Source organism: Homo sapiens, chromosome 7 (genome assembly GCF_000001405.40).
Source record: "Homo sapiens chromosome 7, GRCh38.p14 Primary Assembly".
Classification (NCBI taxonomy): Eukaryota; Metazoa; Chordata; class Mammalia; order Primates; family Hominidae; genus Homo; species Homo sapiens.
The window spans coordinates 123811993-123829964 of NC_000007.14; the positions used below are offsets into that span (position 1 = coordinate 123811993).

Sequence of the window (17972 nt, forward strand, 5' to 3'; positions counted from 1 at the left end):
CACCACACGTGGCTAATTTTTGTATTTTTAGTAGAGATGGGGTTTCACCATGTTGGCCAGGCTGGTCTCAAACTCCTGACCTCGTGATCTGCCTGCCTCGGCCTCCCAAAGTGCTGGGAATACAGGTGTGAGCCACTGCGTCTGGCTGGTATCTATACCTTTTTACAATGTGTGGAATTATGTTGCTTTCCCCACTGCTTCACTAGACCTGGCTACTTGCCTGAAACATATCAGATTTGTTGAACAAAAATTCAAGTGTATGTGTGTATATATGTATGCATGTATTAGTATATATATTTTATAAGTGGAAAAATGTAGATCTAGTTTTATATTTTGAATAATAAAAATAGCTAGAAAAAATAAAATCTCAGCAGCATGTAGAAAGAATTCATTATATTTAAAAATGCATACCATTATAATGCATATTTTTGTTACTGTAGTAGAAGTCTGTTATAAAATGTAGACTAGGGACCAAAATAATGCCAAAATAATTTTTCCATAGGCTAGCTAGAAAAATAGATGATTGTGTATCATTTATATACATGGAAAACATAATGAAAATCTCCTAGAAGAGGAAATTTGTAACAGTATTTTACTAAAGTACAATATTTTGTATTTTTAGGCCCTTTGGCTCTAAAAAATTTATTGTGATATGACATTTTAAAAAGGTGTTTTTTGTTCCCAAGGGTGTCAGTTTATTAGGCATATATATACGCAATGTGCAGTCATGACCAGAGGGAGGTAAAGAATAATATTTATGGAGAGTAGATATTCTTTCATTTTCCCTGAACAACAAATAAAGAATGAAGAAGATTTGCCTTTATATTTTTGTGGGGGAGTGGGAGTCAAATTAAGATCCCATGATTAGAGAAGAGTGATGGGAGAAAAACCATCTCTGATAGCTTAGAGATTCATCTGGTGCTATAATACACACTCCACATGAAGGCAATTGTCTCAATAATATCCAATTTATTTAAAAGAGTAAATTATCGTTCACATTTGTTAATTTAAAAATTCAGTGTACAGAGAGCATACGACTTGAACTCAAGTTTCTTTACAAACTTGGGGTGCTATGTTGTGAGAGTTAGCGTACAATTTTGGTTGGTGTCTTTCCTGAATTTAGTACGTTAAATAAAGACACCAAGAACTACATGAGAAACAATGTATGATTCTTAAAAAGAAACTGAGTTTAATTATATCAGAGAAAAATCTGTTTAAAATAAATTCCTTTATTTAAAAAAATCCATACGATAAGATAATTTTGATATGTAACTGAAACCATATTGCTTTCAGGATGAGATCTTGTTGGCTGGAATGCATCAACTATTAGATAGTCCTTATATTCTGGGAAGATTCTTTGGCAGTTTTCGTCCCAACAGACTAGTTAAAGGGGCCTAAAGAGACAAGTTTTATTTAGGGTTTAACTGCTGAATATACAATCCAGTTTCTTTATAGGAAAACCACTGGAGTTAAAGAACTAATAGGATTTTAGGCTTGTTTATATGCCTAAGAAGATGATAGCACCAAAATCCATAATCAACACAGGGTAATTAACATTTCTACTTGTTTTTTATTTCAGCCTATGCTAGTTCCAAGGGTAACTGCTCTCTGTTTTAAAAATAAACATTTGAAGCCAGTGCATTTCAAATTGCATGTAAAGTATTACTTACTGTTAGTACAGTTAGTTATTTCTTTTTGTTCTATTTAATATTAGTTAAAATCCCAATATTTGTTAATTTTCAAGTGGGCATGTTCTTGGAGTCACTTTGTAAGTAATCAATAAGGAGATATGACAATCCATTCAGACTTCTTTTCTAGTTCCTCTTAGAGCCAGTGAAGGCTTGTCAGTACAAGAAGGTTTGGGTTAGCGTATTCAGAATCATAGGAAATTAAAACCAGAATGGCTAGCAGCTAGAGTTTGCATAGCTGACAAATGTGTGAAACTTTTTATAGTTTTTATTGAGTATATATTTTTTTCACATTTCACTATAAATTGGCATAGATATTAATAAGCCTCAAAGATATTTTAAAATATTTGGTCTATTCATTGTATACCACAAAACTTAAGAGACATTTGACTCCATTATGTATGATATTTTGCTTATTATTTTCAAGGAGACTGCTGTAATGCTGAAAACCTCAAGCCATGTGTAACCCATGGGTGGCGTGGTTAGGAGTGCTACCACTCTTTATCCTATTAACTCAGGCAGCCCTCAAACCAGCAATGCCTCCGGTGATCAAGAGCCAGCCTTTCAACATTTTCTGGGCAGCCCCAACAATGTATTGTATGCCTTCCTTCAACGTGGATATAAATCTTCAAGTATTTAACATTATATCAAATCCTTTAGAGACTCAGAGTGGGTCAAAAATTGCCATATTTTATCCAAATGAATTAGGGTATTACCCTTACTTATCTCAAGATGGAAAATCCTTTAATGGAGGAATACCGCAGAATGTGAGCCTTTCTGAACACCTTAGGAAAACTGCTGATGACATTGGAGAAGGTGTCCCTTGGTGGAGATCAGAAGAACTTGTTGTTATTGACTGGGAAAGTTGGAAACCCCAATGGGATAGAAATCAGGGCAGCAGAATAATATATAAAAACCACTCTTTAGCCTTCACTAGAAACCATCATCCTTATTGGTCAGAAATGAAAGTGGAAACAGTTGCCCGAGAGGAATTTGAAAATGCTGGAAAAAATTTCATGAACATTACTCTCACATTGGCTTTAGAAATGAGACCAAAATGTTTATGGGGCTTTTATCTCTATCCAGACTGCTACAATTATGATTACAGAATAAATCCAGAGACGTACACAGGTAATTGTCCAAATTGTGGCTGTGGGAAAAAAGCGCAGCACTTTATCCTTCAATACATTTGGATAAAATACTGAAGTCAAGCTTAAATGCTTTGAAATTTGTTCACTATCGAGTTAGAGAAGCCATGAGGGTTGCTGAAATGGCTAGACATGACTATGTTTTGCCAGTTTTTATTTTTTCCAGACCATTTTATTTGCATAGTACTGAAGCTCTGTCACAGGTAAGGAAAAGCACAGTCACTCACATTTAAAAAAAATGGAAATTTGGTAGAATAACTATATAAAGCCTATACATAAATGTTTTAGGATATTTATTTTCCCTTAGCAATACAATGCTGTTCTCTTATTAAACATGTATATTTCTTCAAATGTCAACTCAATTCTGAAAAATGTCACTGACAATTAGATGTACACTTAACACTTTTGGATAATGATTCTTACCAGCTTAGCATTCACAGGAGTTTCCTACAGAACAGAGGTTAAACTTGATTTAAATAATGTAACAGACAGATTAATTTTAACCAGAGAGAAATTTTAGAACTAACTTCTTAATATGAAAAGGTAACAGCAATTTTCCAAATCAAAAACGTGCAACATAGAGCTTAGGGTAAATTATTAACCAACTACATTTCTCATTATATTGCATTTGTATGTTTTAATTAGCTAGGCTAACTAAAAAAATTACATAGGTTCTCTTGATTTTGTCTTTAACAGTCAACAATGCAATCTAGTGGTTATTGTCAAGGCATTAAAACTGGTTTATATAAGGAGACAGATATTGTCTTTAGACTGAACACAAAGCTGGAAGCCTACAGATGTGGAGATGAGCTTGTTTAGAAGATAATAAGTTTGAAGACATGGCAAGTGTCCAAACTTTAACTAGATTGTCACATAGGACATTCTTGTAAGGATTCAATCATTGGATAGGTGGCTAGATAAGAAAATCCTCAAATCTCCATCTATACCTGAGAGCCAACAATACTTTATGCCAGTACCCAACACAGAAGCAGAGCTGTTGTATGGACAATACACAGCTCACTTAGACCACTTAGGTTTGAGATAAGGCCATTTAAAAGCAGTAGCAATTCTTCCTAAATATTTCAGAATAAAATCCAATTATTAATTAGACTTGACATATTCATCTTTGCAGGATTACTCAGTATTATTCAGAATGGGCTATTCATTCAATAAGTTTAGAAGGAAAAGAATCATAGCATTATGACAAAAATTTGGAAGAATCTCATGGGCACTAACCCATCTCCTACCCAAATAAAAACCCTTTCTTATACTTTAACACTTTTTGATGGGGGCACTTCTTATATTAGAAGGGAAACTGCCATTTGGGGGAAATATTAATTCCTAGAAAGTTTTTAAGTATATTTAATCTACTTTGCCTCTTAATAACTTCATACCACTAGTTCTAATTCTACCTTCTGGTGCAACATAGAATACAGCAAATCCTTCTTTCAAAAGCCAGTTGTCCAGGTATTTTAGGATATCAGGCCTGCCTACCAAAGTCTTCTTGCTAAGGTATTCCTCAAGTGATGCCAGCTTTCTCAAATCATTTTACTATCTTAAATCCTTTTCAGAAAAATAACCTGGGTTATATTTATTCATTGAGAAATTCTTGAGTGCCTACCTTGTGTCAGGAATTACATGTTATTAGTAATAACAGTAGAAAATAATAATAATTCATGCAGTCAAAGAGTTCACCTTGAGAGAAAATGGGAGAATGAGATGAGCCACATTTTCATAAAAGCCTTGTTCATTGCTTTCCTATTTTTTGTACTATTGGACTTTTTAATCTTTTTTATTTTTAATTTTTGTGGGTACATTAGACTTTTAAAGTAAATTATATGCTAAGTATCACCTCTGAGCTCTACTTGAGAAATCAATAGACTGCATTCTCTACTCACCAAAATATATAGAATCACCTGAGCATTATATTGAATTGTTTTAATTGCCTTCCATGTATCATATATCAAAAAACAGTATGGGTTTTTCTCACCTTTGGTCTAAGTAACATAACTTTCCAACGCATTTTTTTTTAAACCAGTCCTGTTTGGTATTTGCTTTCAGGAGTGTCTCAATTAAAATAAGCGACTACATTTAGGTTTAAGGAATGTGATATTAGTCAGTATAATGGAAGAATGATTTCCTTTCTTGTTGTATTACTTAGACAAATTGCAGAACATAAATGCCAGTATTGCTGAAACCTTCCTATAACGCAGGAAAGCTTACAGTGGCGTGACAATTTACTCATTGCAGTCTGTGAGCACTCCACCTTTGCACTGGATCTCTGACTCTCCATACCTTGTAGGGGAGAAAAGAATGCAGATTGCACCATTGGTCATCCCCTTTATCTCCCATCTCTCCCTATTTCCTACTTCTTTGCTCTTGGCCTATATACATTAGCATAACATCCTCGGTTTCTTATCTTTATGAACTGTAATCTATATAGTCACCCAATTTGAAAGTCACTTGGCTGCCTCCCTTTTCCTCTTTCCATTATCGGATGGGTAACTAAAACTTATCCATCTTTATTTCCAAATAACTCTTCAATCTATTCCCTCTGCTTTACAAGGATTTACATTGCCTTTGTTGAGGCATCATCATTTCTCACCGAACAATTTCTATCACCTCCTAATTGGTGTTCCTGCCTGTACTATCTTGACCTTCCCCTCCAATGCATTCTTCTTCTTTTTTTTTTTTTTTTTTGAGATGGAGTCTCGTTCTGTCACCCAGGCTGGAGTGCAGTGGTATGATCTTGGCTCACTGCAACCTCCGTCTCCTGGGTTCAAGTGATTCTCCCACCTCAGCCTCCTGAGTAGTTGGGATTACAGGCGTGTGCCACCACGCCGGCTAATTTTTGTATTTTTAGTAGAGACAGGGTTTCACCATTTTGGTCAGGCTGGTCTCGAACTCCTGACCTCAGGTGATCCACCCGCCTCAGCCTCCCAAAGTGCTGGGATTACCCATCTTCCAATGCATTCTTTATATGCAAAAAGAAAAAAAAAATCAAAGTTGCAAATTTGTGTCTTTCCAGCACTAAATATTTAACATTTATTTATGTATTTATTTATTTGAGATGGAGTCTCGCCCTGTCACCCAAGCTGGAGTTTAGTGACAGGATCTCGGCTCACTGCAACCTCCGCCTCCTGAATTCAAGAGACTCTCCTGCCTCAGCCTCCCGAGTAGCTGGGATTACAGGCAGGCACCACCATGCCTGGCTATTTTTGTATTTTTAGTAGAGATAGGGTTTCACCATGTTGGCCAGGCTGGTCTCGAACTACTCACCTTGAGTGATCTGTCTGCCTCGGGCTCCCAAATTGCTGAGATTACAGGCGTGAGCCACTGCACCTGACCAGTTGTCTTAACACTTTAAAACAGCATTTTTCTCTTTGTATTTGGATTCTGTTTATACATAGAAATTCATATGTTTTTACTTTCCAAATTCTGTGTGCTTTACCACAAGGAAGTACTGGGAGTTCTCTGGATGGACTGTGATTTTGCCTGGATCTAAGTCTCTGCTCTTATTCTTCCTGTGGATATAAAACTCTGCTCTCTCTAGACTGTCTTGTGAATTCATACTCATTCTCAAGAGTCTACTGATTCTCATTCCCAAGAGTCATATGAAATTTAACGTGTTAAGGAAGCCTTCCCAGACTCTTCCATGAAGTATTAAGCACTTCTAATTTATATATGTTTTGTGAGTGCTACTAATATAAAAATTATTATGTTATAGTCACTTGTTTATATGTCTGTCTCAACCATTAGACTAAAAAGCATTCCTTCAAGAAAAGGAATTGAAATCTATTTCATTTTTATATTCTCAGTGTTTAGAATATTGCCTGGAACATTGTAAATATTTCTCAAATAAATCTAAGAATCCAAGGCAGTATCACCTTTTCCAATTCTGGTATGGTCTTTTGTTTTATTTTTTGTATGATAGCTTTATTTAAAAGAAATGCCTTTTTTTCTGTGTATTAAAATTTATATTTTAATTGACATATACAATTGTATGTATTTATCATATACAACATAATGTTTTGAGGTACATATACATTGCAGAATGGTTAAATCTAGCTAATTAACAAATTCATGACCTCACAGTTATTTTTATTTTAAGAACATTTAATATCCACTCTCTCAGCATTTTTCAAGAATACAATATGTTGTCATTACCTATAGACACCATGCTATACAATAGATCTCTTGAACTTATTCCTCCTATCTAATTGTAATTATGTATTCTTTAACCAACATCTCCTCAATCCCCTCTCCCTCCTAACCACCTCAGCCTCGGGTAATCACCATTCTACTATCTACTTCCATGAGATTAACTTTTTCAGATTCTATCTGAGTGAGATCACGCAGTATTTACCTTGTGGTACAGTCCTTTGTTTTGGAAACAAAGATATCATTATTAACGTGTTCCTTACCACAGTTGAGGGATTGAGTCTTATTATTGCATTATCACTGACAAAATTTGACTTGGTGGAAACTACTCCTGATACCTCTCTTTTCTAGGAGGACTTAGTGCATGCAATTGGCGAAAGTGCAGCATTGGGGGCAGCAGGAGTAATATTGTGGGGAGGATATGAATATTCTGCTTCAAAGGTAAGCAATGATTTCTCTGTCAGCAACTTGAATATACTTTTGAGATTGGTTTAAAAACATTTTTTTTTTCGCATCAGAGTCAAATGGTTGCTGATTATCTGCTTACTTGACCTTAGTGAAATTCAAAAAGTACAGGGTCTAACATTGAGCACCTACTCCATACCAGCCATTGTGGTTAGTAGAAGGGTAGAAAGAGCACAATCATTCTAATCAGACAGCTAAGTGAGAAACTGATGTTTATGTCCTAGGGGTGTAATTTTGAGCATGTTAGTTAACATTTCTGAGTCTCAGCTTCTCCATCTAAAAAATTAGACTAAAATAAAACCTCCTCTGCAGGATTTTGGTAGATTAAATGGCATAATATATATGTGACAAACAAAAAGTAATAAATTTTAAAAATGAATAATTATTTCATTTGCACTGAGGGCAGATTCTCCAAAAATGATAAATAATTCTTTTTTTTTCTTTTTTTTTTTTTTGTGAGGCAGTCTCACTCTGTCACCAGACTGGAGTGCAGTGGCGCAATCTTGGCACACTGCAACCTCTGCCTCCCAGGTACAAGTGATTCTCGTGACTCAGCCTCCTGACTAGCTGAGACTACAGGCATGTGCCACCATGTCTGACTTATTTTTTTGTATTTTTAGTAGAGACAGGGTTTCGTTATGTTGGCCAGGCTGGTCTCAAACTCCTGGCCTTAAGCTATCTGCCCGCCTCAGCCTCCTAAAGTGCTGGGATTACAGGCATGAGCCACTGTACCTGGCCCAAAAATGATTCTTTACTTTGCTGATTACCTATTATAGAAATGCATGTGGGAGAAAAATCTATTTGTATATAAAGGTTTATTAACAATCTACTCTGTTCTGGCTGGGCACGGTGGCTCACGCCTGTAATCCCTGTAATCCCAGCACTTTGGGAGGCCGAGGCAGGTGGATCACTTGTGGTCAGGAGTTCGAGACCAGCCTGACCAACATGGAGAAACCCCGTCTCTACTAAAAATACAAAATTAGCTGGATGTGGTGGTGCACACCTGTAATCCCAGCTACTCAGGAGGCTGAGGCAGGAGAGTCGCTTGAACCTGGGATGCAGAGTTGGCGGTGAGTCAAGATTGTGCCATTGTGCCCCAGCTTGGGCAACAAGAGTGAAACTCCATCTCAAAAAAAAAAAAAAAATTACCAATCCCCCTTTTATTATAAGAACACTTAATATGAAATCTACCCTCTTAAATTTTGGAGTGCTTAATATATTGTTAACCATAGACACTATGTTGTACAGGAGATCTCTCGAACTTGTTTATCTAGCGTAACTAAACTAGCATATCTCGGACTTATTTATCTAGCATAACTGAAACGTTACAACCTTTAAATAACAATTTCTCATTTCTCCCACCCTCAGCCCCTTACAACTATTACTGTGTTCTTTGCTTCTACGAGTTTGGCTATTTTAGATACCTCGTAAGTAGAATCATGTAGCATTTGTCCTTCTGTGACTGCCTTAGTTCACACAGAATAATGTCCCCCAGGTTCATCTGGTTGTCATAAATGACATTATTTCCTTCTTTTAAAAGGCTGACTAATATTTCATTGTATGTATATACCGAATTATCCTTATTCATTTATCTGTCAACAGACACTTGGATTGTTTCCATTTCTTGGCTATTGTGAATAGTGCTGCAATATACATGGGAATGCAGACACCTCTTTGAGATTGCAATTTCACTTCTTTTATATATCCAGAAGTATATATGCATTTATACTGAATCATATAGTAGTTATTATAGTTAGAATTTTTTGAGGAATCTTCCATACTGTTTTCCATAGCTCTTGTACCATTTAACATTCCCATCAACAGGGTATGGGGGTTCCCATTTCTCTACAACTTCAACACTTGTTATCTTTTATTTTTTAAATAATACCCATCCTAACAGGTGTGAGGTGATAGCTCATTGTTTTGATTTACATTTCCCCAATAATTATGATTTTGAGCGTCTTTTCATATACCTGTTAGCTCTTTGTATGTCTTCTTTGGAGAAATGTTTGTTCAAGTCCTTTGCTTAATCTTTGATTGGGTTATATATATTTTTTGCTGAGTCATAGAAGTTCATTATATATTTTGGATATTGACCTCTATCAGACATATGGTTTGGAAATATTTCTACTATTCTGTAGGTTATCTCTTCATACTGCTGTTTCTTTTGCTGTGCAACAGCTTTTCAGTTTGATGCATCCCATTTGTCCATGTTTCTTTTTGTTGCCTGTCCTTTTGGTGTCATGTCTAAGGAATAATTTCCAAGACCAGTGTCAAGAAGCATTCTCCCTATGTTTTCTTCTAGGAGTTTTACAGTATTCGGTCTAATGTTAAATAAGTCTTTAGTCCAGTTTGAATTGACTTTTGTGTGTGGTATAAGATAGGGATCCAATTTCATTTCTGGGCCTACAGATATCTAGTTTTCCCAACTCCATCTCTTGAAGAGACTATCCTTTCTCTGTTGTGTTCTTGGCACTCTTGTCAAACATCAGTTGATCATATATGTGTAGGTTTACTTCTGGACTCTCTATTCTGTTCCTGTGACTTGTATATCTTCCTTTATACCAGAAACATAGTGTTTTAATTATTGTAGAATTGTAATATATATTTAAATGAGGAAATATGAAGCCTCCAGTTTTGTTCTTCTTTCTCAAGGTTACTTTGGCTGTTCTGGGCCTTTTGTGGTTCCATATAAAGTTTAGTTTTTTGTTTTCTATTTCTGTAAAAAATGCCATTGGGATTTTGATGGGGATAGCATCAAGCCTGCAGATCACTTTGGATAGTATGGACATTTTAACAATATTAAGTTTTTCTATCCATAAACATAGGTTATCTTTTATTTATGTCTCTTTTAACACCTTTTATCAATATTATGTAGTTTTTGATGTACAAGTCTTTCACTTTTTTGGTTAAGTTTATTCCTAAGTATTTTATTATTTTTAATGGTATTGTAAATGGAATTGTTTTCTTAGTTTCCTTTTCAGATGGCTCACTATTAATAGATGGAAATTCAACTAATTTTTGTATGTTGATTTTGTATCCTGCAACCTTACTGAATTTCATTATTACTTATGACATTTTTTGTAGTTTTTAGGGTTTTCTATATATAGAACTATATCATCTGCAGCAAGAATAATTTTAAATTCAGATTCATTTTTATTTCTTGCCTAATTGCTCTAGCTAGGACTTCTAGTACTACGTTGAATAGAAGTGGTCAGAGTTGGCTGGATGAGATGGCTCATGCCTATAATCCCAGTACTTTGAGAAGCTGAGGGATGAAGGTTGCTTGAGGCCAGGAGTTCAAACCCAGCCTTGGCAACATAATGTGACCCCATCTCTACAAAAGGTAAAAAAGAAAAAACTAGCCAGGTGTGTTGGTGTGTGCTTGTAGTCCTAGCTTCTCAGGAGGCTACAGCAGGAGGATGACTTGAACCCAGGAGTTCAAAGCTGTAGTGAGCTATGACTGTGCTACTGCACTTCAGCCTGGGTGACAGACTCCATCTGTTAAAGAAAAATAATTAAATTAAAATGAATAAAAGAGAAGTGATTAGAGTGAGTATCCTTGTGTTATTTCTGATGTTAGAGAAAAAGCTTTCAACTTTTCATCATTGACTATGATGTTAGCTATGGGCTTGTCATATGTGGCCTTTGTATGTTATGGCACATTCTTTCTACACCTATTGTTTTAAGAGTTTTTACTGTGAAGGGGTGTTAAATTTTTAAAAAGTGCTTTTTCTGCTTCTAGTAAGATGATCATAGGATTTTTATTTTTCATTCTGTTTATGTGGTATATCACATTTATTGATTTGTGTGTGTTGAATCATCCTTGCATCCCAGGAATAAATCCTACTTGATCATGGTGTATGATACTTTTAATGTGCTATTGAATTTGGGTTGCTATTATTTTGTTGAGGATTTTTGCATCCAGTTTCATCAGGGATATTGGCTGATAATTTTCTTTTCTTACAGCATCTTTGCCTTGCTTTGGTATCAGGGTAATGCTGGCATCATAAAGTGAGTTTGAAAGTGTTTCCTTTGCTTCAATATTTTTGAAGAGTTAGAGAGAGATTAGCATTATTGTTTTAATGTTTGGCACAATTCACTGGTGAAGTTTTCAGGTCCAGGGCTCTTCTTTGTTGGGAATTTTTGGATTAATGATTCAGTCTCCATGTTCGTTATTGGTCTATTCAGATATTCTATTTGTTTTTTCATTTTTAGTTCTAGAAGTTATATATACACACACATATATATTTATATATATACACATATATATTTTATATATATATATATACACACACACACACACATATATTTATATATATATGAATTTATTCATTTCTTCTAGGTTATCCCGAGTTACCTAGATAGTACATACAAAATAACTCTATTAATTTTCACAAAATAACTACTACTTTTCTAAAGCTGCCTTTGAGTATGGTCATCCATCCCACTGCTTAAGTGAAAATTCTGAGACCACAGCTCTTCCTCACTTCCAGGCATTAACAAACAGTCTCAGTTTCAGGAATTAAAATGTCTAGTCTTATAAAATATAAAAATAGCAATCTCTTTTCATTCAGTGTGACACAAGTTAGGATGTCAGCATTGTTAAGAACAGGAGTCCTGTGATGAGACTGCTTGAGTTTCAATGCTCACTTTTTGTCACCTACTAGCTGTGTGACCTTGATCAAGTAATTGACTTTTCAATTTCTTTATCTATACAATGAAAGAAATAATAGTATCTCTCCTATAGGACTTTTATGAGAATTACACTATTGATATATATAAAGCACTTAAAACTGTACATGGCAGATGGCAAGTGCCATGTAAGTGTTGATTATTACTTCTTACCTCTCTTCCCCACACACCAGGCTTGGATCTGAGGTGTGGAGAAGAGGGGTATGGTGAGTTCTTTTGTTCAGCTAATTCAAAGATGGGTTTAGAAGATGGGGATGAGGATGAGAAAAGGTGGCAATATAATTTTTTTAAGTTTAATGACATTAGTAATTATCTTTCCTGCTGAAAGCCTTTTGATACGGCTGCCATTTAGTGGCTGACTTTTTCTTACATGAAGCGCTGCTGCAATTTGGTTACAGGAAACCCCCTTCTCCCCACAACTCTCACCACCACCTCCTTCACCCCCGCACATGACACCATTCTCTGCTTTGAACAATGCAGGCTTTAGCTACCACCTTGAAACTTCCCCTTTACTTCTTCCCCAGAAGTACCTCCTACATTCCCTTTGCCCTTGGACTTTTCAGGAAGATGCATGCCTGGCTACCTGTGTAAAATCCACTTGGATCATGAAAATACTCCTGTACCCTTGTTCTGTTAAATTACATGAAGGCAGGCCACTCCCACTGCTGTCATCTCTCCTCAGTGTCTTTATTCCAAGAACCTGTAGCAGAGCTTTGCACATAATAATGTGTGCTGAATAAATATTTGCAGAGTGAATAAATAAACATGTCAGCCTCCAAGCTCCCAGTAGTTCCCGTGTGGTTCTAGGACAGTGCTCTCTACTTCAAATTCCTTTCACAGAACATTCCTTCTGCCCTGATAATTTCTAGCCATTTATATATGCTGGAGATGGGTAAATGTCTCTAACTCCTTAGTTGTCAACCCCACTGTCTTCAGCTTTGGGTTTCAGGTGAAATCTCTCTTTCTCTCTCTCTCTCTATATATATATCTATGATAAATCTATATATATAAAATGTATTTAGATTTTTATAAATTATATGTAAAGTTCCTGTCTTTTTTTTAACCACGTTACATATAAATGGTGTAACAGGTTTCCCCTAATTGAAGCATGTATTTGGGATGGTCTGATTAAATCCAAACTGTCACATAGACAAAATTCTCTTTTAGATTCCTGATGTAAATCTTTAAATACAGATCATCTTTCCTTAGAGCAGCTGAAATAGCCATGTAATCACATCCAAGAGGCTGACAAATCCAACTCTAGAAGCAATAATTAAGGTTGATATAATCAAAACTTTCATAGTAAAATAGAAGAGGAGGTAGTGAGATGGAGAGACAATGGGTTATAAAGAATCTGGCTTTTCCCAAAGAGAGATCTGGCCTTTGTCCTTGGCTTCTGGGTGGTAATCTGGGGATATCTTTGTTTAGGGTGGATATAGTCACACCTAATAGTTTTATGATAAGGGCTGACTATGCCCCAAGAATCAACCATGTCACAAAGGGTGAAACAATGGGTAGATGCTTCAAGCTATGCATTATCAATGAGTTGGAGCTTGAGTTGAACCACTTAGTCAATCAATCAATCATGTCTCTTCCTTTTTTGATTAGTTAGGCTTGTCAGATATAAATGTTTGATGGTTTTCTTTTTTTGAAGACCTATTCTTTATCAATTCAATTTTCTAATTCATAAATTTATACTTTTAACTTTATTATTTCTTTTCATGAGATTGCTTTCTAAAAAATTATTTTTCTAATTTCTTGAATGCTTGTTAAATTTATTATTTTATTCCTCTATGTTAAATAATCAAAACTATTGCAATAAAAAGTGTTACTTTTGCATCTAGTATTAGCATGCTTTAAAATGTTAGGACATTTTTTCCAGATCCAAAGACAGAGTAGAAGATAAACTTCCACAAAAAGGTGCACATTTCTTTGGATAAAGATTTAAAATTAGAAGCTAATTTTATATATTTAGCTAATGCTCCAGATACACAGAATGTCAAGAAAGTTTGCCATAATGGGTAGAATGTCACTTGCTGGGTTCTGGGAAATTGGTGACCAGCTTCTGATAATGAGATAGAGATAGGAAATGCACTGATTCAATGCAGCAGGTAGCAACTAAGGTGGAGCTTCTAAGAGTGGAAAAATGACTGAGAAGATGCAGAGAGTTGGGGGAACAGGAAGCATGGAAAAAAGCGTAAATGGAAAGCAAGCCACTCAGTACCCCATCAGCTACCAGTACACAGTGCTGTATAGCTGAATGGGAGTCCAGGTGAAAGCCAATGCCAAAATGCCTTGTTTCTGGTTTGATAATTGGATTGCCCGGTAAACAAAAGCACTTATGACTAGGCATTGACATTGAAAATTACTTTGGATGTATTAACACATTTTAACATGTAGTATTCCAGTTGCTTTTATTTTTCTAATTAATTTGAAATTGTAATTTTAAAAATTTCCTTTTAGACCAAATTGCTACTTGGGAGGATATTTTTAATCTGTAAAAAACTAGGATTTTTGTGTCTACTTCTTTTATTATTGATTCCTATTTTACTTAATTATAGAGAGAAATATATGTATGCTCACTGTATTTAGAACAGATTGTGGAGACTAGTTGGGAGGCAATCATCCAGGCGAGAGCTAGTAGTGATCTGAAACAGAATGGTAGCAAGGGTTGAATTCTGGATATATTTCAAAGGTAGACTGAAAAGGACTTGCTGATGGATTAACTGTAAGGGGAAAAAGGAGTGATGAATAACTCCAAGATTTTGCTCCTGAGGCACTGGAAAGAGGGAGTTGGCTTATGCTGAGATGGGGAAGTCTGGGAAGAGGGTCAGATTATGTTGGAGTATGTTAAGTTTGAAATGCTTGTACAACATCCAGGTAGAGATGTCAAGTAAATAGGTGGGTATATAATCAATTCAGGGATAAGGTCTGGGTGGTACACATTTGGGGGTTGTATTTAAACTAATGAGATGGGGTGAGCTTATCCAGTGAAATAGTACAGCTATAGAAGAGAAGAGGTCTAAGATTTAAGCCAGGGGCACTTCAGTGTTAAATGTAGGAAAGATGAACAGGAGCCAGTAAAGAAGACTGAGAAGGAACATCTAGTGAGGTTGGGGATAAAACAGGGATGTGATGTTCTGGAAGCTAAGTGAAGAAGGTATTTCAAGGAGGGCGGCTGCAACAGAACAGGGAATGCCCAAGTTGAAGTTGATTATATTTGCCAGTGTTCTGTGTTGTCTTCATTTGACTCCTGCCGACCTTTGTCTTTCTTGGTTGCTTTTTCGTCCTTCCTCTTTTTCCTTCCCAACTGCCCTTTTCCCCTTCCTTCTTTCCTTTGCTTCAATTGTTTGCCTGTTTTATTTTATTGTGTCTTTCTTAGAAACCTCCTCAGATGCCTCAGACAAGGAGTCCTGTCCTGACTAAAAACAGCATGTGTTTCTAAACATAGTATGAGACTGCCTCCGATTGAATGTGCCTGTAACAAATAATATTGCTTACATGATCTTCAGAATTTGCTATTGCCAAAGTGCTGGCCTCGTTCAACTACCTGTCAATTAAGAGCTTTATTCTGCCTTATGACTTTCAATTTGAATCTCCCAAATCTTTACCAGATGGAGTCACAGTTCTGGGGCCTCCTCTTACTGAGAAAATATCCCACTGTTCTAAGCTTAATTGGTTTTTAATTATGAATTAGTTTTAATATTGATAAAATAAATAATTAAATGCTAATAGAAAACTCAATTTATGTTATTAATTAATCTACTAGAATTTTTCCATGGTCCTACCTGTATGGATCAAGGCAGACATTTATCAAGATTCCTGCCAGGCTCTTCTGGATTAGCTGATAATATCATTTCAATTAGGTTTGCCCATCCTAGCTGCACAATGTGATCATTAATCTGTAGAAATGTGTCCTAGAGTTAAAGCCCAATGCTATGGACACACCAATGAAATACCCAATGGTAGACTTGTGGGAAGACATTCTTACCTACTATCATTGGACCCTATATACAATGTACAAGTAACACTAGCATTTGGTGTAAATAATGATCTTTTATATTCTACCTCCTAAAAACTGACTGATGGACAAGTAAAGTATGTTATATTTATATTATGAAATACTGACCAGCAATTAAAGTGGAAAAATGCTACATGTATCAACATAAAAAATGGAAAATGTTAAGTTCAAAAAGCAAATTGCAGAAATATCCTACATGATTATATATACGTAAATGTTTAAAAAGCACAAAATAATACTCCCTCTTGTTCATAATTACACACACACACACACACACACACACACACACACACCTCTAAAAACTTGGATGAGAACTCATCAACTTTAGGAGAATTGTTATCTCTTCAGAGGTAGGGAGAAGAATAGGATGACTTGGTAGTTTTTGAAAAATCTGACCTAATGTTAAAATATATTGAGTATCAACATTGAAAATGTTTCACAATTAAAGTTCAATTTTAACAAACCATCCCCATATTAATGATATCTTTTAAAAGTATCACTACAAATATATCTTTACATTAAGGAACAGTCTTTACTGGGACACTGTGAGATCATCTTCACCTGGAAATGATACGAATTTGGTTGGGTCATAGTCTTCCCAATTAAAGGCATGGCTCATTACTCACATGACCCTATAAAGGCTTAGTCCCTCCTTTAAATAGCTAATCCACACAAATGCTCCTCCTCCTCAGCCTTACCAAATACAAAACTTTAGGCATTAATACTGCCTGGATTATGGAATCACACTTTGAAAGTGCTTTAAGTAGATTTCTGTTTTTCCTACAGGAGAACTGCTTATCTGTGCAGCAATCTATCCGAGGGCCTTTGGGCCATTATGCTGTGAATGTGACATCTGCAGCCAAGCTCTGCAGTCAGAGTCTATGTAACAATCATGGAAGAGTATTCGAAAAACACCTGAGTCCTCCTTCTATCTGCATATGCCTGAAAGCAGTGGTAAGAAATATGTTCTAAACAAGAGTTTCAGATTCATCATTTCTGAAAATAATAAACAGAAGACAATAACAGACATGAAGAATGGATTTGTGTGTCACTGCTATTACGGCTGGCATGGACCGTCTTGTCACGATCACTCTTCAGATCTCCTAAGAGTGATGAATAAGGCTCCTACTATTAACTTCAATTTATTAGTTTTTCTCATTATGGCTTCTTCTGTGATTCTGCTAAAAAAAATTTTAGCCCTTACTACAATGCCAATTTTTTCTTGAAATACCAAACAGTAGCAAGTGTTGATTTTTTTCAACCTCAAGCCTCTCCCAAAATATGTATTGACTTTAAAGTAAAAAATAAAAATAAAAAAGTTAGTCATTGATGCCACTCATTGATACAGCAATTATTTACTGGGTGTTTACCTCATGCAAGGCAATAGGGAAAAGAAAGTGAATATACCTGCTCTCAGGGAGCTTAAATACTTGTGGGAAAATGAACAATGATAAATAAGCAATAAACAAGCCTGGACAACATAGCAAGATCCCATCTCTACAAAAAATGTAAAAAATAGCTGAGTGTGGTGGTGTGGACTGTAGTCCCAGCAACTTCAGCCTGAGGTGGGAGGATCATTGAGCCCAGGAGTTCAAAGCTGTGGTAAGCTATGATTGTGTGACTGCACTGCAGTCTGAGTGACAAAGTGAGACCCCGTCTCAAAAAAATTTTTTTAAAGACCCAATAAACTAACAAGCACACATATATTTGGTGGCTGCAAGTGCTCTGGAGAATAACAATGAGGGGTAAAATGATTAGGGAGTGTGAGAGAACACTGGAAATGTAAGAGAGTCA

At 35.8% G+C, this 17972-nt stretch overlaps 1 protein-coding gene and 1 pseudogene across 2 annotated transcripts in view; both read left to right on the forward strand.

Annotated features, from left to right (window-relative positions):
• Positions 1–17972, forward strand: part of HYAL4 (hyaluronidase 4) — a 113774-nt gene that overhangs the window by 48285 nt on the left and 47517 nt on the right. The window contains exon 3 of the mRNA XM_047420093.1: positions 16965–17132. The gene's annotated coding sequence lies outside the window, so the exon portion shown is untranslated. The remainder of the gene's footprint in view (positions 1–16964; positions 17133–17972) is intronic.
• HYAL6P (hyaluronidase 6, pseudogene) lies at positions 2147–7438 on the forward strand (annotated as a pseudogene). The gene is made up of 2 exons (NR_002731.1): positions 2147–3039; positions 7349–7438. The product of NR_002731.1 is annotated as a hyaluronidase 6, pseudogene (transcript).